The following is a 27,838-nucleotide window of genomic DNA, read 5'->3' as shown; positions in this document are numbered from 1 at the left end:
AAGGATTACAGAAAAGGTGCTATGTGCTCTGGGTTTGAAGGCTTTGGAACACGCATCAGGAGAGCAAAGCCATGCATCAGAATTTACTTTTGAGCAATTTTAATTACGGTTTTTGTTTACTTTTCCAGTAGAAATTAACTGTTATTTGTCCTTTCCACACAGAAAACATTTTATCCACTTTCCCCACTTATAGAATGTATGTTGGGCATCCCCGGGCCTTGTCTCTTAGGCTTTTCATTCTTCAGACATCCCAAGCTGCTGGAGACTTGACTGAGGACCAGGCAGGATGAATGATCTGTGCCAGGAGGCAACATCTTCTTTTCGCATGGCCTGATTTCAGGAGAAAAAGCAGATTCTGAAGAACTGGCCCTGGAAGTCAGCATACTGCAAGTGAGAATGATATTGTTAAATCCACTGACAACAACTTAGCTCTCTTTCCATTCCTCAAGTCACTTCTTATCCCTAATGAGCTCACCATAGCCATGAAGCTAGACTGTGGGTACTAGATTATCATGTTTAGCTTGATTAAGCCTCAGAGCCTAATGATGACTGCATACTTCTACCCCACCACTACTGGCAAGGGAGATCCTGTGGGCACATCCATACTCATTGTATTAGTCAGGGTTCTCTAGAGGGCAGGGCTAACAGTATAGATGTATATATAAAAGGTAGTTTATTAAGGTGTATTGACTCACACAATCACAAGTTGAAGTTCCACAATAGGCCATCTGCAAGCCGAGGAGCAGGGAAACCAGTCCGAGTCTCAAAACCTCAAAAGTAGGGAAATCGACAGTGCAACCTTCAGTCTGTGGCCAAAGGCCTGAGAGCCCCTGGCAAACCATTAGCATCGGTCCAAGAGTCCAAAAGCTGAAGGACTTTGAGTCCAATGTTCAATGGCAGGAAGCATCCAGCACGGGAGAAAGATGGAGGCCAGAAGTCTTAGCCAGTCTAGTCCTTCTACGTTCTTCTGCTTTTATTCCAGCTGAGCCGGCAGCTGATTAGATTGTGCCCACCCAGATTGAGGGTGGGTCTGCCTCTCCGAGTCCACTGACTCAAATGTTAATCTCCTTTGGCAACACCCCCACAGACACACCCAGGATCAACACTTTGCATCCTTCCATTCAATCAAGTTGACACTCAATATTAACCATCACACTCATCTTGTAGATTAGAAGGGCACACTAAGTTCTGGATTATGGTTTGAGAGAAAGATCACTGTTATCCTATTAGGTATATGAACTTTATTTTGTAAGAATTAAAAGGGTAATTGTATAATTTAGGGGGACAGCAGACACTTATTGGTAGCCTATGTAATAAGTTTACAATTTGATTTTGTGATGGAGGGAAAAACATTTTCCAGTTGGGCTTGCTTTTCCTGGCAGGACTACACTAAGAGATCTCAAAGCAGTTGAGATTTACCTAACAACTGTGGTTCTTTGCCTTTTTTCTACTGTAATACATATGCTCACATATGAAACCATTTCATAGGTGAATGTGGATTTAGACAGTTAAATTACTGTTGGAATAAAATAGATTTTGGATAATGCATAAATGACATCCCCTAGCTTCTAATTTTTTTTTTCCAAAATTCCTTTGTCACACACCTGTGTATCTCAACTTCCCAGATGAGGAGAGATAAATGTAAAACAGTAATGGTCTTTTTCTTTGCCCACATAGTGTTTCTGGCCTAGTCTGACACAAATTAAAAGATCAAGGACAGATGTCCAGTGACGTAAGTGGAGGAGATAGAGTGGGGAGGACACATTAGTCAGTATGTGTTTTCTTCTTGGGATGAAAGTTTTTGAGAAACTAAAATGTGAGTTGGAGGGTATATTGAATGATGCCTCTTGCTAGGTGTACCCATGGAATTCTTATTGTACATATTTACATATGAGGTGTAGCAGAATAAAAAAGGTGGAAAATTACTATTAAATGGATTTGCTTTACAATGACCATAATCTCAATTAAGAATGTAGTGATGTTACAGTTTTGACTTTCTGGATTTGTGACAATTTGGGCTTGTCTTTAGTAAACTATTGATGGGTCTGACTTGGTCTTGTGACTGGCATCTGGAGAACAACGTAATTTCAGACATTCATGAGAAAAGAAAAGATGTTGGAATTATACATAAAAGTAGCCTGAGAGTTTGACATTCTTTTTTCCTGTTAGTACATGGAAGCATAATTATTTGAAGAACAATATTTCAAATATATGGTCCTTTGAGTAGGAATGCTACTGTGTTACCCATAATTTTTGAGATTTTTTAAAGCTAAAATTAGCAAAGCTTTTTGGTTTTTGTTTTCAGCTACTCTGAAGACAAGCTAATTTTTCTCTTTCAACATATATTGCATGTTTACAAAGGCCTTACCTAGTATTGCATAAATATGATGAGAATTGGAGTTGAGAGTCATGAAACCTGAATTTTATCACTAATTTATTTATCAATTATTTATTAAGCCCCTATTATATGTTCTGTTTTGAGAAACAAGGATGGATTAGACTAGTTTCTGTCATCAAAAGTAGTAAAACCTTGTGGATTATAATTATCTATAATTGTGAGACATCTGCCCACCTCATATAATGAATAAATATGCATAGGTATGGGTTCATAAACGCAGTTTTGTTTTGTTTTAAGCTTATATAAATAGTATTCTGAATTTATCATTTTGAAATTTTGTTTTTGTACTTATTTTAAATTGCTGTTATTGTTTGTTGTTTAATTATTGTGAATTATCCCCTTATAAAAATATATAAAATATATTTATTTCTTTTTGGATTAGTCAGAATTTTGATTGTTCCAGTTTTTGCTGTTATCAACAAAGATGTCGTGAATATTCTTGTCCATGTCCCTTACGCCTATGTGTGTTAAAGTTTCCAGGAAGAAACTTACGTGTTCATAGGAAAAATGCATTTTCAACTTTATCAGCTAATGCCAAATCCAAATTGTTTACCAAAGAGCATGTACCAATTCACGCTAATCAGTAGCGTAAGAGAAGTAAAATAGCCTCTTATTGCCAGACTTCTAATTTTTTTGTCAGTTGAATGAAAATCAACTAGTGTCATATGATTGTTTTAGTGGTAATTGTCCTGAATTCTTTAAGTTTGAGTTGCGTTTAACATATTTATTAATACTTTTAGTTTCCTCCCCATGAATAATACTGACCTTTTGGTCATTTTATTTGCTTTAGATCACTCTTTTATTACTTATTGATTTGATCCTTATTCTTTATATAGTAATCTAAGTATTAATTCTTTGCAATTTGTGGATAAATATCTTTTCCTGGTTTATTATTTGTCTTTTATTTTTGTTTATAGTTCCCTATCCTACTCGATTCAGTAAATTTGAATTTATCAATCATTCTCCTTTGTTTTGTTCTTTTTTCTCATCCAAAAAATATGTTACTACTCCAATTCATAAATTATGTTCTCCTATATATGCTTCTGAAATCTTTAGAATTTTAGTTTATACATTTGTTAATAACTCACCTGTAATATGTTTAATGTTTGGTTTTTATGCTACTTTTTTCATATGTTTTACTTCCACACATATTACAAACTACATAATGGATTATTATTTTTGCTTTAAGTGGGTAATTATTTTTTAAAGAAATTATTAACTAAAGTCTTTCATACTTGCCATTTCTAATGCTCTTCAGTTCTTTCTGCAGACCTGTGTTTCTATCTGGTATCATAACTTAAAGCTGAAGTACTCTCTTCACCAATTTTTATAGTGCCAATCTGCTGGCAATGAAGTCTATCAGCTTTGTTAGTCTGAAAATGTTTTTACTTCACCTTCATATTTGAAGGCTATTCTACTGAATATAGACTTTTAGGTTAGCAGTGACTAAAAAAATTTTTTTTTAGCTCTTTAAAAATACTGTTTCATTGTCTTGTGGGATGCATTACTTCTCATATGAAGTCAGCATTCATTCTTATTTGTATTTTTCCCCTTTGGTGCATTCTCTCTCTCTCTCTCTCTCTCTGTCTCTCTCTCTCTCTGTCTCTCTGTCTCTCTGTCTCTCTCTCTCTCTCTATATATATATATGTTACAGACACACACACACACACACGGAAAAGCCAATGGTGTAGCTCTGGTATGAGTCTGAACATTTGACAATTAGTTGTGCTGATGGTGTAAGTCCCAGTCTAAGGGCAGGAGAAGACTGATGTAGTAGTTCAAGCAGTCAGGTGTAGAAAGAAAATTCTCTCTTCCTCTACCTTTGTGTGCTATCCAGGCTCTCAGTGGATTGGATGATGCCTATCCACCTGGAGAGGGATATCTGCTTTACTCAGCATACTGATTCAAACATGAATCTCTTCTAGAAATACTCTCACAGACACACCTGAAATACTATTTAACCAAATACCTGGGCATCTTGTGATCCAGTGAAGTTGACACATGAAATTAGCCATAACACATACCCATTCTCTTTTTCTTCTCTTTGGTTATATTTGAGGTTTTCCTCTTTCCCATATCCAATCTAAATCCCTTCCTTCCTTCCTTCCTTCCTTCCTTCCTTCCTTCCTTCCTTCCTTCTTCCCTCCCTCCCTTCTTCTCTCTCCTTCCTTCCTTCCCTCCTTCTTTCTCTCTCTCTCTTTCTTTTCTTTCTTTCCTTCCTTCTTTCTTTCTTTTCTTTCTTTTTCTTTCTTTTCCTACCTTCCTTCCTTCCTTCCCTCCTTCTTTCTTTCTTTTCTTTCTTTCTTTCTTTCTTTCTTTCTTTCTTTCTTTCTTTCTTTCTTCCTTTTCTTTCTTTTCTTTCTTTTTTCTTTCTTTCTTTCTTTTCTTTCTTTTCCTACTTTCCTTCCTTCCCTCCTTCTTTCTTTCTTTTACTTTCTTTCTTTCTTTTCTTCTTTTTTCTTTTGTTCTTTCTTTTGTTCTTTCTTTCTTTCCTTCTTTCTTTTCCCTCCTTCCTTCCTTCCTTCCTCTTCTTTCCCTCCCTCCCTCTCTCTCTCTTTCTTTCTTTCTCTATTTCTTTCTTTTTTCATCTTCTGTCTTTCAAAGGAATTTACCCTGTTGGTTATATTGCTTTTGAGAATTAACACTTTATTTATTTTATTTATAATTAATTAACACATAATAATTATATATATTTACTGGATACAATGTGATGTTTCAATGCAAATACACATAGTATAATGACCAAATTGGGGTAATTACCACATCCATCACTTTTAACATTTATTATTTATTTTTTGTGACAATATTCAAAATCTCTTCTAGCTATATGAAATAGGCACTGCATTGTTATAGTAACCCTGTTGTATTTCTTAATGATATTCTTACTGGCAGCAATTAAATATCCTCAGATCTATTCAACTCTTTAAAAAACACATTTTACCCCACCACCTCTTCCCTCTGTTATCTTAGTTTTCTCTCATATCCTAGCATATCTTTCAAGAGAGTTGTATCTACTTGCAGTTGCTATTTCCTCAACCCTCCACTCACTCCTTAACCTATTCCAAACTGACTGGCTAAAGTCACCAACCACCTCCATGCTACCAAATGCAATGGAGATTTAAAATTATTTATAAGTGTCTCAGCACAATATGACATCATCGAATACACCTCATTTATTTAAATGATCTCTTTATTGGTTACTGAAATAATATATCTTTCTGGTTTCCTTTCCTACCTCTTTGGCATTTAGTCTCTTGTCTTCACTGGGGGCACATTCTCTTCATATTGGCCATTAATTACTGGAATTATTTGAATTTCATTTGTAGATCTTTTTTCTTTTCATACTCTTTACTTTTATATTAGAAAATCTCATCTTTTGTTTGTTTGTTTTTTGAGAAGAATCTCGCTCTGTTGCCCAGGCTGGAGTGCAGTGGCACCATCTTGGCTCACTGCAACATCTGCCTCCGGGGTTCAAGCGATTCTTTTGCCTCTGCCACTGGAGTACCTGGGATTAAAGGCAGGCACCACCGGACCCAGCTAATTTTTGTATTTTTAGTAGAGATGGGGTTTCACCATGTTGGCTGGGCTTGTCTTGAACTTCTGACCTCAAGTGATTCGCCTGCCTCAGCCTCCCAATGTGGTGGGATTACAGGCGTGAGCCACTGCACCCAGCTGGGAAATTTTATCTTTAACCATAGCTTCAATTACCATGTACCTATTTTTTTATAGCTCTTGGATTTTTTTTCTCCAGTCCAGAATTCTTTTCTGAACTCCAGACACATATTGGACTATACACTCAATATTGTCCCTCAGATATCTGAAAATATTCTCAAACTTCAAAGGTACAATATCAGTCTCATGATTTTGTTACATCAAATATAATCCTTTTCAATTATTTTTTATATGATGAATGGGACCATTATTCATCCATTTTGTCACGTCCAAAATCTACTTTTATCTGCCCCCTACCCTTCAACATAAATCAAATTTATTACCTAGTTAATTTTAAAATAGATATTCAAACTATAATATCTTTCTGTCCAAGTCTATTTATATCAACAGAAGCTTAGTTCAAGTTGCCATTTTTCCTTGTCTGGACCACTGTAATTATTCCCTGACTGTTATCATCTATATGTTTAACAGTATGTACATTGAGACTTTTAATTGTTTCAGAGTTTTTGCCACAGCTCCAAAGCTGAGAACAGTAGGTAAAAGATATCCCTTAATTGTGATGTGCTGCTAGTCATCTTTGTAATTTATTAGATAAACAAATTTATGATTCCATATGGCTTATAAAAGAGAATTCTGGAGTTTACTGAGAAAATTTAGAGAAGAAGAGAATGTTTCCAAGGCCCTGGTACCTTCAATAAGGGGACATTTCCTATTGATTTTAGGGTTGACGAATTCTCAGTACATTTAATCTGGCAGGGATACTGCAGATTTTTAAATGACATTGTGGTTATTGTAGAGCTAGTTTTATTCGCTTACCTCTTTCCTGAGACTCTTGCCCTTTCCTTTGACGTTAGGCTTTATCTGACACTTAAAGTAGAGATTTTGCTGAGTTTCAGCTTCTGAATTGTCAGACATTTCTGTACAGAGATTAGCATAACTTTACAGGCAAAATTCTGTAGCCCTTTTTCACGCAAAAGTTCCCATATCTTCCAGAAATAATTTCAAGTATTCTCCCTCTAACTATAACAGATATGTACGGTTATGAAAGGAACTAAGGGAAGAAATCCCTTTCAATGTTTCAATTCCCTTGTACATGAGCTGTCTGGCACTTTGCCTATGGGAACTGCCAACGCAGCTTGTTTGCTGACAAAATATAACTTTGCAGAATTATCACACAGTTTCATGGTTTAAAAGTCAGATTGAAATACATCTCTTCTGTACCTAATTGCATTCTTGTTGTGGTTACTGATCGTTTGACAATATTAGCAAATTTTTCTGTCATCCATATTTCCAGCAGGGCCTCCAATGTGAAGCTAGATTCTTAATTCCACAAAACTCTCCCAGATAAAAAGGGTAATGGTCCAAAACCACAATTACTTTTGCACCAATCTAATATAATAGAATACAAAAGACCTACACTTTAGCAACCCCTACACTTTATGTTATAAATGAAATAATTAACATCTGTTTTATGTATATCTGTTAACAAATTTTGTATTTATAGTTATTCTTAATACTTTTGTCTTTTGCTTTTATACTAAAATTAAAAGCAATTTACATACCAACAACAACAACAAAAAGGGCAAAATGAGATACGCCAAGCAAGAACAAAAAGATAGAAAATTAATGCTGATTCTTTCAGATAGCCTGTTCTTTTTTTATCATCTCTACTAAGCCAAGTGATATTTTGTGTCAGAATTTTTCAGAAAGCGCTAGTATCAAAGACATCTACAGATGTGGGAGTCTGTAACATGATTGTATGTGTAACTTTTTCCATCCGTAGAATTGTTCATAAATTGTAATAAAATACCTCATGGAGTGTATTTTGCTGAAACATGTCACTTTTATAAGGGTCTGTTTTATATTTATTTATTTATTTATTATTATTATTTTTTTGAGACAGAGTCTTGCTCTGTAGCCCAGGCTGGAGTGCAATGGTGCGATCTCTGCTCACTGCAAGCTCTGCCTTCCGGGTTCATGCCATTCTCCTGCCACAGCCTCCCAAGTAGCTGGGACTACAGGCACCTGCCACCACACCCGACTAATTTTTTTTTGTATTTTTAGTGGAGACGGGGTTTCACCGTGTTAGCCAGGATGGTCCTGATCTCCTGACCTCATGATCCACCCGCCTCGGCCTCCCAAAGTGCTGGGATTACAGGCGTGAGCCACTGCGCCCTGCCTAAAAGGGTCTGCTTTATAAATTAGACCATGTCAAGTACTTTGTTAGAGACAGTGGAGAATGCATTTCAAGTGTTATTTTGGCTACCCAAAGGTATTGTTGAAAGCATACAAAACCAAAAACTCTTAAGAAATTATTTTTGTCTTCCAAGAAACTTATGTGATGTGTCAGAACAGAGCAAAAAGGCAAACAAAAGAATGTATGGATCCATTTCACTGCCACAAGAGGTGTTGCCTGAAGAAGATGAATCACATTACAAATTATCTAATTTAAAGCAATTCAGAGATACATCAGTGTGAAATTTAGTATATTTATAAATTTGACAAATGATTTATTATGAAGTCTCTCATTAATTAAAATAGTGCCAATTGAAATTAGAATATTGGATGTTTTTTGGGAAAAAGACATAATTTCATCAGCTAGGTTTTGCTTCTAATGAAGAAATAACTATGTAAATAATTTCTATTAATATTTTAAAATAGCCTTTATATTCTTGTTTTTGTAACTGCAAAGGAATCATACTTCATACTCAATTTCTATTAAGTCTTTAGCTCATGCTAGGTGCACAGTAAGCTATTAACTAGAGATTTTAGGCAGCATAATTAGAATAATAATTTGTATCTAGAAGGGGAGGGAAAAACACTTTTCTTATCAATCATCAAGGAAATTTAAATATTTTTTTAACCAAGAGAGTTGGGGAATTTAAAACTGATCATAGGACTTTAGTGAAAATAACAGATTAAAGATTTTTGAAAATTCTCTCTTCCATAAAAGCAAGGAGAAAATTGGCAAAAACTTGTTAAAATCAAAACTTCCAGAACTCTAAAAACTAACAAAAGGCTTGCAGCAACATGAAGTGCATTCCCCGCCCCACTACCCCACCCCAGGAAAAGTGACAGAATCTCAATAAGAACAGAAAGCTTTGCGACATTTTAATTTATCATAGTTCCACTTTCTAGCATCCAGCTCTGTGGTAGCCTTGAAAACTGACAGTCTGCATCAGAGTGAAAACTGGCAGCCTGGCTGCAACTGGAAGTAGAAAGGGTTTGGAGCTTCTTCAAAGACCCTTGCCAGAGCATTGCCATTACTTGTCCTGTTTGATGGTTTACTTAAGACCTCACTTGCAAGGCTGTCTTTATTTGACCTCAGTCAGAGCTACCAGTGCAAAAAGCCTCTTCTCTGAGGGTGTTTGTCAAAAACAATCACAGGAAATTGCTTAACTTCATGTCTGACTGAAGCCATGAATGACTGTTGAGGCAAACAGTAGACAAACCATGAAGCTAAAAGGAAAAATCAGGTAAACAAAAATTCAGTAGGAGTTTTGGAAAAGCCCTAAGATATTTCTGGGATTTTAAAACACTACAGGCATGCATGTGACTGTAAGCATACTCAGAAAAAAAGTGAAAAGTCCTTAAGCTCTTACTTCTCATTGATTTTGCGACTCTGTGCAAACAGAAAATGAAGACTAAGAAGGGGTGATCAACTATATGACCAAGTATTGAAAAATGTTATGGGAACCTAGTGAGAATTAGAGCCATAAAGAAGGTGCCACCTGAGGAGAGCTTTAACCTCCCTTTAGCCAAACCTAGCAGGAAGCCAGCTGGTAAGGGGACCTAGGATTGATGCAAAATCTAAGAAAGGAGAACCCAGAGAAGTGGGTCTAGCTCTTGCCTTGAGAGTAGTTATTTATCAAGAGAAAATAGTGGCAAAACTTCTACTGGAAGATTGTCAGGGCCCAGGGAAAAATAATAAACATTTCCAGAGAAATAAAATGATCAGTGGTTTCCAGGGGCTCGAGGGTAGGAGGGGAGAGGTATGATTAGTTACCAATAGATATAACGAACTTTTGCCATAAGGAAAATATTTCTTATCTGGATGTGATATTAGTTAAACAGGTGTATATTAAAACTAATTCAACTCGGCCGGGCGCGGTGGCTCACGCCTGTAATCCCAGCACTTTGGGAGGCCGAGGCGGGTGGATCATGAGGTCAGGAGATCAAGACCATCCTGGTTAACAAGGTGAAACCCCGTCTCTACTAAAAATACAAAAAATTAGCCGGGCGCGGTGGCGGGCGCCTGTAGTCCCAGCTACTCGGGAGGCTGAGGCAGGAGAATGGCGTGAACTCGGGAAGCGGAGCTTGCAGTGAGCCGAGATTGCGCCACTGCAGTCCGCAGTCCGGCCTGGGCGACAGAGCGAGACTCCGTCTCCAAAAAAAAAAAAAAAAAAAAAAACTAATTCAACTCTACACTTAAAACAGATATACTTTAGTGTATATAAACATAACTCAATAAGTTAGACTTAAGAAACAAATGCTTCCTGAATCATAAGACAAAGATAAACAGCCCAACTAAAAATAGGCAAAGAAAATTGAAAGGCAATTTACAGAAGAAAGAAATTTTGTGATCCTTCCTCGCCCACCAGAAATAAGGTGCTCAAACTCTGGAAAATTTAGTAAACTATAAATTTATGTAACACCAAGATAAATTTATACAACACCGATAAAATATAAATTTATACAACACCAATAATTTATACAACACTATCCTCCTGCAGAGATATAAAATGTTTCTACAGTGTATGTCTAGAAATGAAATTACTGGGCCATACGGAATGGACTTGTGTAACTTTCAAGACCTTCTTATATTGTTTTCTAAAGTTGTTGTTCCAGATTACATTCTTACCCTGAGGTCTCCATTTTTCCACATTTTACACAACAAGTGTTTAAAATTTTTGCCAATAGAAAAAATCTGTTTTATTATTTATTATTTTATTATTTAGAATTTTTTTCTAAATCTATTTTTTTCTATTGGCAAAAACTTTTTCCTCCTAAGGCACCATTATAAACATGCAGTCAAATAGCATGCAAGGCTACTAAGTTTGTTCCTTCCCTTTTGAAGGAATTGCAATCTTCCACCTCCTGTGAAGCCACAACGACACAGGGATAGTGTGGAGAATGCTTCTGTGGGCATCTGATGCTCTATCCTACGACTCAATCCCAGAGCCTAGTATAAATTTAAATAGACACAACTACACTCCCGTTGACTCTCATAAAAGGGGCTCTATAGTGATTATGCAATGATTTCCAACCTGCAGAAAAAACTTTATAAAATAAATTATAATGAAAGTATCAAGTTGTTATAGTTTGATCTGCGATTGTTTTAATGCTCTAAGGAACTGAATGCTCTACAGACATTGATGCTGAAATTAGAGTTGTGAATGAGTTTCGAGTCTTGTGTGTCTGTCATTAGCCAATTAACAGAAACTCTTTCGTATGTGCCTAAGCATACTGGATCATAGTTAAAGGACAATGAGTCTACTAAAAAGATTAGCTGTTCCAAAATAAGTTTTTCAAGAGGCTTTTGAGCCAAGCTAGAAAGACAGGACAATCTCACTTTATTGTGAAATAATATTCCATTAACTAAGGACTGAAGCAAAAATCCAACCATTTCCGAGCTAAACGTATTGAATGAATCAGTAGCCTAGATTATCCAAAATGCAACAATTATTTTTAAAAGATGTTACTTTTAAAACTTGTCAGGAAGTCAAGGCATGAACCCTGAGCAGAATGCAGTGGGCAAACGTCAGAAGGTTGGATTCTCAGTCCTAAGTCTGACCACAAGCTGACTGACTCTTGCAACCTGTTTGTCTCTAACAAGCTCTAGCTTCCAATAGGAGTTTGATTGCACCATATGTCTCTGAAGACCTCATCCAGCTCTCAAGTTCTATTAAGGCGTACCATATAAAATTGCAATATTTGATCAATTTTGTCTTCAGAAATGGTTAGGTCTGTGGTTAAACCTAAAAAATTCTAATCCGAGAGACTTTATGGATGCTTGTAAAAACCTATGAGATTTTTTTGACAAAGAATATTGAATATCCTGATTTCTGACTACAAGTAACTTCAAAATATCTGACTGGAATTTTGGCATATTCAGTCCAATAAGGTTATTTTTATTCGAGAGAAAAGCAATCAATTAAGCATGTTATTTAATTGATTCAACTGAGCAATTGAATCAAAAGCCACTCTACTGCATAGATTATGCAATTCAAACTATGTGGTCCCTCCCTCATTAGGTGCTAAAATACACATATCATATTAAATAGATTATTTATCCACATATTAAATCTCATTGGAAGTTTTATATTTTACTGCTATACCTAACAAAAGCAAAGAACCATTTTTAAGTGAATATGTATTTTTTCTAAATAGACTGAAATATTAATATGTACTAATGGAATTCTTATCAATCTCTTGTAAGTATAGCTATCCTCAGGGGTGCCTCATGAGCAGCAACGTGATTTGAATAGAGTTCATATTTTTTCCCATTTAAAATTGTCCTACTTCATCAGATTAAATATGTAGCTTTTTTCCTAGAAACTTGTTTTTAAAATGTACATTTTGAAGGAGTGGGGAAGATAATCCATTTAGTTCTAAACTCTTGGTTTGGTTTAGTTGTGGGAGCATGGAATTGGGAAGGTGTTACTGTGATCCAGCCTTCACCCTGAAACCAAAATCATCTGCCCTACATTGCTTGGACACTGAGAACCAAAACTACCTAAGTCCTCATCCCCTCCAAAACAAAACAAAACAAAATAAAGCAAAACAACTAAACCTTACTGTCTATCTTACTGGAAAGATCTTTGAATCTTTTGTGCCAACATCTTTACCTTGCTATTTCCAGCAGTCCAGAAAAGTTGTTAATTCTTATACAATCCTAATCAAGTCCTCCCTTTCACTTTTCCCCATCTTACACAAAATTTCCAATTCTTAATAAATTCTGTTCTTGCCCTATTCCCTTCATGACACTGCTGAAACTTTGTGGAGATAGATGGTGTTATATTAAGCAATAAACTAAATGTCTTAACAGGTGGTGTTAGTGATATTTGAAAGCTGGCACTCAACAGCCTACTTTACAAATTTACCTGCATGGTTAGGATTACATGCTGAACATTCCTGACCTCAATTTGAAAAGCCATAAAATTCAACCAGAGGATTGTAATCTTGCAATGCAATTATAAGTTATAATTTCACTAATTTGTCTTTATTTTGTAGGATTATTAAGAAAGTCTACTTAAGGACTTAGGTAGACTTTATGTTTATTCATTAAACATACAGTGTGTAACTAATTTGAGGCAAGCATTTTTCCAGGCTTTGGGGATTTAGTGGTAAACAAGGTGGTTATATTCTTAGTGTTCATGGTGTTTATATGCCAGGGGAAGGAGATAGATAATGATCATGTGAACAAGTGAATAAGCAAGATCACTACGTGCTGTACTACTATAGGAAGGAAATAAATAGTTGAGGACCTAGCAAGGACACCTAGGATCAGACAGACTGAACGAGAAAGACTTTGTTGGGTAGGAGACATTTAAGCTGAGGTCTGAGGGAGGGAGATTAGCCACCCATTGAAGGGCTAGAGGGAAATCTTTTCAAGTAGGGAGAATAATGGGAAAAAGGGGGCTTAGATTATTCAAGAATAAAGAATGGTCTCTTGGTTGAAGTGCCAAGAGAAAGAAGTAGAGAAAGATGTGCATTTATTGAGATATATTTTCAAGTCAACACTAGTAGGGTTAGGTGAGAAGAATGAGGAAGTAATTGGGATTCACGCCTGATGGTCCCTGCCTGTCACCAAGTGGACCTCTGGAGGAAATGGGAACTCATCATTACCTGAATCCGGCACATTTCCACCTGATTCTCTACTCATTCATACTCAAACTCAGCCTCACTTCCTCCAGGTTAGTTGCAATATTTTCTCCCTTGGGTCAGGTAAGATAGGAGTTATTTTATTTTTATTTATGGGCCTTCATTAAGAAATAATTTAGCTAGCAAAAAGTACAAAGCCAGAAGCATCACAGCACCCAACTTCAAACTGCACTACAAGGCAACAGTAAACAAAAAGCATGGTACTGGTACAAAAACAGACACAGACCAATGAAACAGGTTAAAGAACCCAGAAATAAAGCCACACACCCACAACCATCTGATCTTCGACAAGCTCAACAAAAACAAGCAATGGGGGAAAAGATTTCCTATTCAATAAATGGTGCTGGGATTACTAGCTAGCCATATGCAAAAGATGAAAACTGAGCCCCTTCCTTTCACCGTATGCAAAAATCAACTCAGGATGAACCAAAGACTTAAATGTAAAACCTAAAACTATAAAAAACCCTAGAAGAAAACATAGGAAATACCATTCTTGACACAGGTCCTGGCAAAGATTTCATGACGAAGACACCGAAAGCAATTGCAACAAAAACAAAAATTGACAAGTGGTACCTAATTAAACTAAAGAGCTTCTGCACAGCAAAAGAAACTACCAGCAGAGTCAACAGACAATCTACAGAACAGGAGAAAATATTTGCAAACTATGCATCTAACAAAGGTCTAATATCCAGAATCTATAAGAAACTTAAATCAACAAGCAAAAAATAAGCAACTCTATTGTCAGGCCTCTGAGCCCAAGCTAAGCCATCATATCCCCTGTGTCCTGCACGTACACATCCAGATGGCTGGTTCCTGCCTTTACTGATGACATTCCACCACAGAAGAAATGAAAATGGCCTGTTCCTGCCTTAACTGATGACATTATCTTGTGAAATTCCTTCTCCTGGCTCATCCTGGCTCAAAAGCTCCCCTACTGAGCACCTTGTGACCCCCACTCCTGCCTGCCAGAGAACAACCCCCCTTTTCCCTTTATCTACCCAAATCCTATAAAATGGCCCCACCCCTATCTCCCTTCACTGACTCTCTTTTCGGACTCAGTCCACCTGCACCCAGGTGAAATAAAAAGCCTTGTTGCTCACACAAAGCCTGTTTGGTGGTCTCTTCACACGGACGCGCATGAAATCTATTAAATAAATGAGCAAAGGACATGAACAGACACCTCACAAAAGAAGACATACACGTGAGACCAACACGTGAGAAAAAAAATGGTCAACATCACTAATCATTAGAGAAATGTAAATCAAAATTATGATAAGATACTATCTCATGCCAGTCAGAATAAACATGATTAAAAAGTCAAAACATAACAGATACTGGTGAGGTTGCAGAGAAGGGGGAATACTTACACACTGCTGGTGGAAATGTAAATTAGTTCAGCCATTGTGGAAAGCAGTTTGAAGATTTCTCAAAAAAACTCAGAACTGCCATTCGACCCAGCAATCCAATTAATGGGTATGCACCCAAAGGAATATAAACCGTTCTACCATAAAGACACATGCGTGCGTATGTTCATCACAGCACTATTCACAATAGCTAAGACATGGAATCTACCTAAATGATCACCAATGGTGTGCTGGATGTGAAAATGTGGTACATATACACCATGGAATACTATGTAGCCAACAAAAAAATGAAATCATGTCCTTTGTAGTAATGTGGATGGAACTGGGGGCCATTATCGTATTAATGCAGGACCAAAAAACCAAATACCATATATTCTCACTTATAAATGGGAGCTAAATACTAAGTACACATGGGAACAAAGAAGGGAAGAGTAGACACTGGAGCTTGCTTGAGGCTGGAGGGTGGGAGGAGGATGGGGATTGAAAAACTACCTATGGCATTTATGCTCATTACCTGGGTGATGAAATCATCTGTACACCAAAGCCCCATGACACACAATTTACCCATGCAACAAACCAGCACATGTACCCCCGAATCAAAAATAAAAGTTGGAAAGAGGAATCAAAAGAAACAATTTATCTTTTAAAACTGTATATGTGGGTGCCATTTGGAAAGAAGCCTACTTTTCCTGAGATGTTGCCACAAAAATACTTGTCCTCCCTGTACCTGTTGAAAATCCAGGCTGTCATAGCCAAAGGGGTACTTGGCTAACTTTCCCAAAGCATCTTCATTTATATTAATTTACACATTACTTAATATTCCATTTCACTAAGGACTTGCCTCCTTTGGCTTAATACTATTAAACCATCAAATAATGTAAGTAATGTTCTCCAGTTTCATCCTAACCAAGCCACTTTCAGAGTATTATTTGGTTTCCCATTTAGAATGAATACTGAGTATTTAGAAGACAACCAAATAGCCCTTAACATCATCATTTACTTTGTGTGAATTTTCCTACTTAGTAATTCTGTAATTTGCATGAAAGATGTGTAGGTATATATACATGTTTAGTTCTGGCTGCTATGACAGTCTTAGACTGGGCAGCTTATAAACAACAGAAATTTATTTCTCACAGTTCTGGAGACTGGAGTCTGAGATCAGGGTCCCAGCCTGGACTGGGTCTTGTGAGCATTCTCTTACAGGTTGCAGGCTGTGACTTCTCTTTCTTTGTATCCTCACTTACAGAAAGAGAATGTTACCTATCTGGCTTTTTCTGTTTTTAATTTATTTTAATTTTTGTGGGTACATAGTAAGTGTACATATTTAGATCCCATCATTTGCAATACCCTGGATGGAAATGGAGAGTGGACTATCTCATGAGTTATGTGAGATAGTTTGATACAGGCATGAAATGTGTGGTAATCACACCACAGTAAATGGGGTATACATCAACTTAAGCATTTATCCTTTGTGTTTCAAACAATTCAATTATACTTTTAGTTATTTTAAAATACACAATTAAATTATTTCATACTACAGTCACCCTGTTGTGCTAGCACATACTAGGTCTTATTCATTATTTCTGTGTTTTTGTATCCATTCCACATCCCCACTTCCTCCCTGCCCCCACCCCCCACCACTCTTCCCAGCCTCTGGGAACCATCCTTCTACTCTCTACCTCCATGAGTCCAGTTGTTCTAATTTTTAGCTCCTACAGATAAGTGAGAACATGCAGTGTTTGTCTCTCTGCCTGGCTTATTTCACTTAACATAATGACCTGCAGTTCCATCCACAGTGTTGCAAATGACAGGATCTCATTCTTTTTTATGGCTGAATAGTACTCCATCGTGTATATGTATATGTACTACATCTTCTTTATCCATTCATGTATTTCTAGGCCTCTATGTGGCTTCCAAATCTTGGCTATTGAGAATAGTGTTGCTAAAAATATGGGAGTGCAGCTATATCTCTGATATACTGATTTTCTTTCTTTTGAGTATATATGGAGAAATGGGATTGCTGGATCATATGGTAGCTCTATTTTTAGTTTTTTGAGGAATCTCTAAATTTTTCTCCATAGTGGTGGTAATAATTTACATTCTCACCAACAGTGTATGAGGTTTCCCTTTTCTCCACAGTCTAACCAACATTTGTTATTGCCTGTCTTTTTGATAAAAGCCATTTTAACTGGGGTGAAATGATCTCTGGTAGTTTTGATTTGCATTTCTCTGATGAGCAATAATGTTGAGCACCTTTTCATGTACCTGTTTGCCATTTTTATGTCTTCTTTTGATAAATTTCTATTCAAATATTTTGTCCATTTTTGAATCGGATTACTATATTTTTTTCTATAGAGTTGTTTGAGCTCCCTATATATTCTGGTTATTAATACCTTGTCAGATGGATCATTTGAAAATATTTTACCCCATTCTGTGGGTTGTCTCTTCACTTTGTTGATTGTTTCCTTTGCTGCGCAGAAGGTTTTTAACTTGATGTAATCCCATTTGTCCATTTTTGCTTTGGTTTCCTATGCCTGTGGGGTGTTACTCAAGAAGTCTTTGCCCACTCCAATGTCTTGAAGAGCTTCCCCGAAGTTTTCTTTTAGTAGTTTCATTGTTTTAGGTCTTAGATTTAAGTCTTTAATCCATTTTTTATTTGATTTTGTATATGGTGAGAGATAGGGGGCTAGTTTCATTCTTCTGCATAATGGATATCCAGTTTTCCCAGCACCATTTATCAAAGAGACTCTCCTTTCTCCAATGTATGTTCTTGGGACCTTTGTCAAAAATGAGTTCACTGTGGATGTATGAATATAGCTCTGGGTCCTCTATTCTGTTCTACTGGTCTATATGTCTGTTTTTATGCCAGAACCATGCTGTTTTGGTTACTATAGCTTTGTAGTATAATTTGAAGTCAGATAATGTGAGTCTTTCAGTTTTGTTCCTTTTGCTTAGGATACCTTTGGCTATTCTGGGTCTGTTATGGTTCCATAGAAATTTTAGAATTCTTTTTTTCTATTTCTGTGAAGAACATCATTGTCATTTTGATAGGAATTGCATTGAATCTGTGTATTGTTTTGGCTAGTACGAACATTTTAACAGTATTGTTTCTGCTAATCCAGGAACATGGAATATTTTTTCCTTTTGTTTTGAATCCACTTCCATTTCTTTCATCAGTGTTCTATAGTTTTAATTGTAAAAATCTTTTACTACTTTAATTTAGTCCCTAAGTATGTAATTTTATTTGTAGCTACTGTAAATGGGATTACTTTCTTGATTTCTTTTTCAGATTGTTTGCTGTTGACATATAAAAACGCAACTGATTTTTGTATGTTGATTTTGTATCTTGTGACTTTACTGAATTTGTTTATCAGTTCTAATAGTTTTTTTTGGTGGGGTCTTTAGGTTTTACCAAATATAAGATTATATAATCTGGAAACAAGGATAATTTGACTTCTCCCTTTTTTCTTTCTCTTGTCTGATTGCTCTAGCTAAGACTTCTAGTACTTTGTTGAATAACAGTGGTGAAAGTAAGCATTCTTATCTTATTCCAGATCTTAGAGGAAAGACTTTCAGTTTTTCCCCATTCAGTATGATACTAGCTGTGGATCTCTTGTATATGGCTTTTATTGTGTTGAGGTATGTTCCTTCTATACCCAGGTTTTTGAGGGGTTTTATTATGAAAGGATGTTGAATTTTATCAAATGCTTTTTCAACATCAATGAAAATGGTCATATGTTTTTTGTCCTTTATTCTGTTGATGTGATGTATTCATTGATTGATTTATGCGTATTGAATTATTCTTGCATCCCAGGAATAAATCCCACCTGGTCATGAAGGATGATCTTTCTAATGTATTGTTGAATTCATTTTGCTAGTATCTTGTTCAGTATTTTTGCATCAATATTCATCAGAGATATTGGCCTATAGTTTTCTTTTTTAATGTGTCTTTGTCTGGTTTTGTTATCAGGGTAATACTGGCCTCATAGAATGAGTTTGGAAGTATTCCCTTCTCATCTATTTTTAGAGTAGTTTGGGTATGATTGTTATTAGCTCTTCTTTAAATGTTTGATAGGTAGAATTTATCAGTGAAGCCTGGGTCCCAGGCTTCTATTTGCTGGAATACTCTTTATTACAACTTGAATCACATTGCTTGTTATTAGTCAGTTCAGGTTTTGAATTTCTTCATGGTTCAATCTCAGTAAATTGCAAGTGTCTAGAAATTTATCCATATCTTCTAAATTTTCCAATTTATTGGCATATAGTTGCTCATAGTAGCCACTAATGATCCTTTAAATTTCTGTGGTATCAGTTGTAACATCTCCTTTTTCATCTCTGATTTTATTTATTTGAGTCTTCTCTTTTTTTTTTTCTTAGTCTGGCTAAAGGTTTGATAATTTTGTTAAACTTTTCAAGAAACCAACTTTTTGTTTCATTAATTTTTTGTATTGTTTTCTTCAGCTCAAATTCATTTATTTCTGCTCTGATCTTTATTATTTTTTCTCCTACTAATTTTGGGTTAGGTTTGATCTTGCTTTTCTAGTTTTTAAAGATGCATTGCTAGGTTGTTTATTTGAAGCTTTTCTTCTGTTTTGATGTAGGTATTTATAGCTATAAACATTCCTCTTTGTACCACTTTTGCTGTATTCCACAAGTTTTGGTATGTTGTGTTTTCATTATAATTTGTTTCTATAATTTTTTTGATTTTTTTCTAAATTTCTTTATCGACCCACTGGTTATTCTGGAGCACATTGTTTAATTTTCATCTATTTGTATAGTTTGCAAAAATCCTCTTGTCATTTTTGTTTTTTTATTCTATCGTGGTCAGAGAAGATGCTTGACATTATTTTAAAGTTTTGAATGTTTTCAGGCTTGTTTTGTGACCTAACATATGGTCTATCCTTGAGAATGATCCATGTGCTGAGAAAAAGAACATGTATTCTGCAGCCTTTGGATTAAATATTCGGTAAATATCTATTAGGTTCATGCGGTCTATAGTGCAGACTAAGTCTGACGTTTCCTTGTTGATTTTCTGTCTGGAATATCTGTCCAGTGATGAAAGTGGGTTGTTGAAGTGTGCAGCTATTATTGTATTGGGATCTATCTCACTCTTTCACTCTAACAATATTTGCTTTATATAACTGGTTGCTCCAGTGTTGTATGCACATACATTTATAATTGTTATGTCCTCTTGCTGAATTGACTGCTTGATTATTATACAGTGACTTTCTTTGTCTCTTCTTACAGTTTTTGTCCTGGAATCTGTTTTGTCTAAGTATAGCTACTCCCACTTTTTTTTTTTGATTTGTTTGTTTCCATTGGCATGGAACATCTTTTTTCATCACTTTATTTTTAGTGTATGTGTGTCTTTACAGGTGAAGTGTGTTTCTTGTAGCAACAAATCATTGTGTCTTGTTTTTCATCCATTCAGCCATTCTATGTCTTTTGATAGGAGAGTTTAGTCCATTTACATTCAATGTTATAATTGATAAGTAAGGACTTACTCCTCGCATTTTACTATTTGTTTTCTGGTTTGTTGCGGTCTTCTCTTCCTTCTTTCCTTCCTTCCTGTATTCCTTTTAGTGGAGATAATTTTCTCTAGGGGTATGATTTAATTTCTTGATTTTTATTTTTGGTGTATTTGTTGTATTTTTTTTTATTTCAGGTTACCATGAGGCTTTCAAATACTATCTTATAAACCATTATTTTAAGCTGATAACAGTTTAACAGTTTTTGCATAAAAAACAAATAAGCCAAAAAGAAAACTAATACAAACTCTACACCTTAACTTCATTTTCCTGCTTTTTAACTTTTTGTTGTTTCTATCAATATTTTATTGTTCTATGTCTTGAAAAGTTGTTGTAGTTATTAATTTTGATTGGTTCATCTTTTAGCCTTTCTTCTTAAGATAAAAGTAGTTTATACACTATAGTTACAGTGTTATAATATTCTGTATTTTTTCTGTGTACTTACTATTACCAGCGAGTTTTTTTTTTTACCTTCACATGATTATTACTCATTAAAGTCCTTTCTTCCTGATTGAAGTACTCTCTTTAGCATTTCTTGTAGGAAAGGTCTGGAATGGATGAAATCTCTTAGTTTCAGTTCATCTTGGAAAGTCTTTATTTCTCATTCATGTTGGATGGATATTTTCACCAGATATACTATTCTAGGGTAAACATTTTTCAGCACTTTAAATATGTTATGCTACTCTCTCCTGGCCTGTGAGGCAGCAAGTTCTCTTCTGGACCAGGGTGTGTCTAGATATGTTGTCTGGGAACTAGAGCCTGGAATCCTATTCTACTGTGGCTGAACTGGTATCCAAGATGTAAGAGAAAGTCTCTTTGCTCTTTCCTCTCCTCTTCTCAAGCAGAAGGAAGGAGTCTTTTTTGGAGCCATGAGCTATGCAGACTAGGATTGCGGCAGGGGAGTCACAAGCACTCCCTTAGCCATCTTTTCAGGTTTCTCAGTAGGTTGTGTGCCCTCTCAGTCCACTGGCTTTGAGTCTAGCTCAGCAATAGAATTCTCCTAGGAGTTGCAGTCCTTGTGGCCTAGACTGCCTTTCAAATGTATTCAGAGCCCCACAGCACTTTAGCCTGTGGTGGCATGGCTTGCCAGAGCTCAAGGTTCAACCACTGGGATGGGTAATTTCCTTCTGGCTAGACCCAGTCCAAATGCTCCTTCTGTGGATGGGCATCAGCTAACTACAGCTCAGTTCTGCTTTCTGCTGTGACGGCAGAACCAAGTTCAATGCAAAGTCTCACAGTCATTGTGTTCTTCTTCCACAAGTGCACAGGTTCTCCATATCACACAGCCACAGGGGTTAGGGGGAGGGGTGGCTTTAGTAATTCAAGACGGCTTTTTCTCCCCTTCTCAGTGCCTCTTTCAGTAACATGAAGTTAAAACCAGGTACTGTAAGTGCTCACCTGATTTTTGGTTCTTAGGAAGGTGCTTTTCTCGTGTAGATAGTCGTTAAATTTGGTGTTCCTGCATGGTGGGGACAATCAGTGCAGTCTCCTATTCTGCCATCTTGCTCCACTTCTGGTCTCTTCTTTTAAGCTCCAATGTCATGACCCAATTACTTCCCAAAGGCCGCCTTCTAAATACCACCATGTCACAGGTTAGAATTTTAAAATAAGAATTTTGGGGTCACACACACACACACACACACACACACATATATATATATACATATAGATGTATATTTATAGTCAAAATTCATTATTCACAGTTTCTATATTTACAAATTCACCTACTTGCTGAAATTTATTTATTTGTAACCCAAAATAAATGCTTGGGACACTTTTGAGGTTATTCACAGACACAAGTAGAGTGAAAAAAATTTGACTTGTTCAATGCATATATGCCCAGCTGAGGTTAAACAAGGCAGCACTCTGCCTTTTTGTTTCATGTATAATAGTGTAAACAAGGGTCCTTCCATAGTCTATTTATTGCCATTGTTTTTACTCGTGTGCTTCTTGTTAGTGATCTCACCATTTAAAATGGCCCAAAAGTGTAGTCCCAAAGTGCTGACTAGTGTTCCTAAGCACAGGAAGGCTGCAATGAACCTCATGGAGAATATATCTGTGCTTGATAAGCTTAATTCACATATGGCCTATAGTGCTGTAGGTCATAAGTTCGATGTTCATGAATGAACATTTATTTACTTAGCAGTTCTTGAGTCAACCTTTAAGAAAAGGTATCTTTAAACAGAAACATTCATAAAACAAAGTTATATATTGATCTGTTGATAAAAATGTGACCAGAGGCTTATAGGAACCTCTTCCTGTCTTTTCTCTAGGAAGAATGTTTCAGTATTTACTAATTCAGTGCTCACAGCATTTTTGTAAACATAATTCCATGAATATTGAGAATTAACAGCATAGATTACATCCGTAGATATATAGTAATTCTGTGAGTTGAAAGGAAGTTTCTATCTATCTGTCTATCTATCTATCTATCTATCTATCTATCTATCTATCTATCCATCTATACATCCATCTATCTGACATCAGGTGTGGGATATTTCGTATTAACAGAAGCCAAGCACATATTTCCACAAAGTTAAAAACCACTGAGATCTAAGCACTAGCATAGACTTAGCATAAGTCGTAGCCAGTTTTGTGTTTCCATGTGGGTGCTATTTTTATTTTTAAAATACATTACTTGGCTGTATGCTTTACTGCTCTCCTTCTTTTCTCCCCATATCTGGTATCTTAGCCAAATGTGTCTGACTGCATATCGTTGCCTCACACCCATAGGGTATTTTGTTTTGTTTTGTTTTGAGACAGAGTCTCACGCTGTCACCCAGGCTGGAGTGCAGTGGTATGATCTCGGCTCACTGCAACCTCTGCAACCTCTGCCTTCTGAGTTTAAGTGATTCTCGTACCTCAGCCTCCCAAGTAGCTGGGATTACAGGCGTGTGCCACCATGCCCAGCTAATTTTTGTATTTTTAATAAATACAAGGTATCACCATGTTGGCCAGGCTGGTCTCGAACTCCTGACCTCAAGTGATCCTCCCACCTCAACCTCCCAAATTGCTGGGATTACAGGCGTGAGCCACTGCAACTACCATCCATAGTGTTTTTCGAGTTTATGCTTAGCTCCTATTATTCTTTTTACATCAACTACTTTGCTCTCTTTACATGCACAGACCTGAACTATTTTCCTTGAAGTATTCCCCCATTCTCACTTCCCTACCTCCAGACAGCTATAATCTCTCACTTCTATAAATACTATGGTCTCTTCATCTCTGTGGCAGTAGCATATTGTACATTTGATTTTGATGATTTGGGTACTTGTCTCACTCATTTTGTGTTTCCCACTTTGCCTAACCCAAGGCCTTGTTCAATATATGTTTACAGAATAAAAATATTTAGTTCTCAACAATTTTAGGTCACAAACCTCTGTAAAAATGATTAAAGCTTATTCTCAGAAAAAAAATGTAGTACAACTTAAAAGTTGTACTGCATTTCTGAGTATTTGAAGCTCTCTTCTCCATCAACACCACCTCTCCAAGTCCACAAAGTCTTTGTTAAAAACTTCTTATTTACTTCAGTCTCCTCAGAATGACAATGGAAAGTTGATGTCCACGGAAGTCAAGTAACTTGTCTCAGGCTAGTGGGAAAGCTAAGACTGGTGTTGGCATTTTACAATTTTCCGAATAGAGGTTTTTCTATGTGGGTGACTTAATCTTGACCATAATAATGTTCTCCTGTTTGCTCCAAATGAGGAGACAGACAACTAAAGGAAATTTTGTTCACTCTTAACCACAGACTACTGTGCTGATGGATGCTGTTGAAGTCAACAAGGAAGTATTATGTAGAGTCAACAGAAAGCAGTGGACAGAGAAACAGGAAATTGATTACAACCCTCCAAACCTGCCATTTACCATTTCTGGGTCTCTACCTCAGCCAAAAAGTTTTGGGGAAATAGAGTCTAATTACCCCAGGGAATCGACATGTGTTCTTCAGAGGAGGTCAATAGTCAAACACTAGTCTAGTTGGTTTCATCCTATAGCGGAAAGTCAGGTAAAGTAATTAGTCTCAACATCTCAGGGGTGCTGACTCATTTCCACTTCCTTTAGAGGAGCCACTCAAACTCTGTCCACGTTTTTTCTCCATAGAAATATGATAAAGATCACTTCTCAGGAAGCATTCATATTTCAAGAAGCTCTGTATGATATACATTAAGGTAAATATTCCTAATCCTTGTCTCTAGGGTTAGAGAAGGTTGGGCTGTACTTTGCCGTTTTTAAGCCAGCAGCCATACTGAATTCACTGTTTTTCCTCAACTCAGCATACCAGATGACCCTTGGTTGCAGCCGTAACCAATCCTTTCTCAAGGACCAAATCACACCTGCCTCTCTTGTCCTTTCCAGGCTCTGAGCTAAAGTCTTGGCATCTTTCTTGTATGCCCTCCAAGTATTAGTCCAAAAAGATACCAAAACTCATATTTTATGGAAAAAGATGTTTCCTGTAATATCTTTTGTCTTGGCTTTAGCAGTATGCATTTTAATAAAAATATTGACTTAAATATTGACTTAAATTTATGTGTTTGTTTATGTTGCTACTCACTGAGGACTTGCTTGATTGGATTAGGCAAATTTTTTTTCCAATTGGATTGAGGTACTAGAATTTCAGGAAGTCTTCAGTTTCTTTCTTTTTTTTTTTTTTCTGCAGCAGAAATTTTGGGTCAAAATGTCTAGGCTCTCTAGTGCTCAGTGCTGTAGAAATTAAAACATTTAGATGTTCTGGATGACCCAACTTTAATTGTGATAAAATATATGTTGGATATATTTTGACATTTTTTCTTATCTACTGAATTTTATTTTAACTGTTTAACACAAAATCTCCCCTATTGATTGAGAATATACAAAATTATAGTTTTTATTGGATTGAGTTGAAATATATTCTGATAAAAAGCAGAATTTAAATGTTATAAGTTGCCAAGAAGGGTAGAATCACAACTTGATAATAAACCTAAATGTAAATTTAGAAATTAAAACATTAAAAAGTTAAGAATAAATAGAAGTTTTTTTTGTCTTTTGTTTTCTTCCTTTCAAGTATAAAACACTTCACAAATGCAATGCTATAGTAAATGTTTAAACCGTATAAAAGTATATAGATAAAAAATAGCAACATTTTCTTTTTCCTTCAAGTATCACTCTGTTCTCTAATTTTAACCAGTAGGTGATATTAACATTTTTAAAGGCTAAAAATAAATAATACTTAGAGTAAAGGGGAGAATAAATTTTCTAATAGAAAAAAAGTGATTTTAAATAAAAACTGATGTTGAAATCAATGAAAAAATATTGAGAGCATGAAGATAAGGGATAAACATTAAAGTAACTAATGGCAGGCACCTGTAGTCCCAGCTACTAGGGAGGCTGAGGCAGGAGAATGGTGTGAACCCAGGAGGCGGAGCTTGCAGTAAGCCGAGATCACACCACTGCATTCCATCCTGGGCGACAGAGCGAGACTCTGTCTAAAAAAAAAAAAAAAAAATGAAAATACTAAAACTTAGAAGTCATTAGAATTTATGCAAAAACAATAATATACACTAAAAGATATATAAATTGATAGATAATATTCTGATTATATATTTTTGTGAAATACATAATTATACATAATAATAATACATATATCTGTATACTATAAAACCTGATGACTTAAGCAAAACCCATATATTACATCTCACAAATTCTAGGTTATGAATTTGGGAAGTGTTTAGTTGGCAATTCCTTTGTTCCACATGGCATTAATAGGAGTTACTTGGTATTCATCTAAGGCCAAGCTGGTCAGGAAGGTCAATGTGAGACTCAATGATATCCAACATTTTGGTAGGGATTACTGGAAGGCTGGGTTCAACTGGATCTCCCCTTTTCCATATAGTTTCAATTCCTCTCTATATAGTCTCTCTAGAAGGGTAATTGGGCCTCTTGTATGACTGCTTAGGGCTCAAGAGAATATGTGGGCCTGCCTAGAACTGGCATAGTGTCAGTTCCACATTCTGTTGATCAAAGCAGTCATAATCAGACCCAGATTCAAGAGGAGGGTGAATAGATACCACAGCTAGATGGGAGAAGTTTCAAAGAATTTGTGGCCATCTATAATCTGCCACAGATGGTAAAGTAAATGTGTAAAGTGTGGCAAGAATGTAGAAAAAAAATAAAAGGAGATGAGCAAATGGAATCAAAATCTTCCATCAAAGCAGAACCAACAGCAGTTTAAAAAATAGAATATCCATATCTTCAATAACAACAAGGAGCTCAAATTCATCAAACAAACAAAACTGTAACTTAAACTAGCCAAGTGGCATGGATCCTCAGTAGAACTAACTGAAGAGAAACAACATGGCAAGGCCAACAACCCAGGACCTTTTATTTGTTTTTTATATGAGGGTATATTATTGTATTAGTTATCTATTGTTACCTAATAAACTAACAACCCCCTGCCCCACCAGAAAAAAAAAAAAAAACTTACCATGTTGCAGTTTTTGTGAGTCAAGAATCTGGCAGCAGTTCAGCTACGTGGTACTGGCTCAAGATTTCTCAAGAAGTTTCAGTAAAGACTGCCAGCAGGGTTGCAGTGTCATCTGAAGTCATGACTGGGGAGGGTCACTTCCAAGATGACTCATGCAGTTCTTGGCAGGAGGTTTTTGTTTCTGGCTACATGGGCCTGATCATAGAACTACTCATGACACAGCTTCCCCCAGAGTGGGTGATCCAAGGGCAAGAAGGTGCTCATCTAAATAGGAAGATGCAATATTTCTATAATCTGATTTTGGAAATGACATATCATCACTTCTCCTGAATGCTATTGGTTACAGTGACTGACCCTCGTACAGAATAAGAAGGGGGTAAACCAGGGTGCAAATACCAGGAGGCATGAATTATTGGGGCCTCTTGAAGGCATGTAGAGGAGTATCCAAAGAGTAAGGGAAACCTTTGCCTTCACTCTCATGTCACATCTGAAAGCTCACATCTTTTGCAAGAAATAGTTTTTTTCTACAGTTTTA

General features: G+C 36.2%; 1 long non-coding RNA gene across 2 annotated transcripts, besides 1 other annotated feature; it reads right to left on the bottom strand.

Moving 5' to 3' along the window:
• Positions 1-82: 82 nt before the first annotated feature.
• Positions 83-27,393, bottom strand: LINC00604 (long intergenic non-protein coding RNA 604). Of its 2 annotated transcripts, NR_170327.1 has the most exons (4): positions 27,304-27,393; positions 26,184-26,305; positions 696-770; positions 83-369 (listed from the first exon to the last, which is right to left on the bottom strand). It is a non-coding gene; the product is annotated as a long intergenic non-protein coding RNA 604 (long non-coding RNA). The 2 variants fall into 2 exon arrangements; NR_170328.1 differs by lacking the exons at positions 696-770; positions 26,184-26,305; positions 27,304-27,393 and adding an exon at positions 6,887-7,087 and having other exon boundaries at positions 83-384.
• Positions 9,259-9,553: a silencer, noted in NCBI's record as "tiled region #7127; HepG2 Repressive non-DNase unmatched - State 24:Quies". NCBI's record gives its function as "represses a minimal TATA promoter and a strong SV40 promoter by Sharpr-MPRA in HepG2 cells {active_cell/tissue: HepG2}" and the evidence as "EXISTENCE:reporter gene assay evidence [ECO:0000049][PMID:27701403]".
• Positions 27,394-27,838: the final 445 nt, after the last annotated feature.

This window comes from Homo sapiens, chromosome 5 (assembly GCF_000001405.40).
Source record: "Homo sapiens chromosome 5, GRCh38.p14 Primary Assembly".
In the NCBI taxonomy this organism is placed as follows: domain Eukaryota; kingdom Metazoa; phylum Chordata; class Mammalia; order Primates; family Hominidae; genus Homo; species Homo sapiens.
Note: the sequence above shows the minus strand (reverse complement) of the source record. Positions and strands in the feature narration are given on the sequence as shown.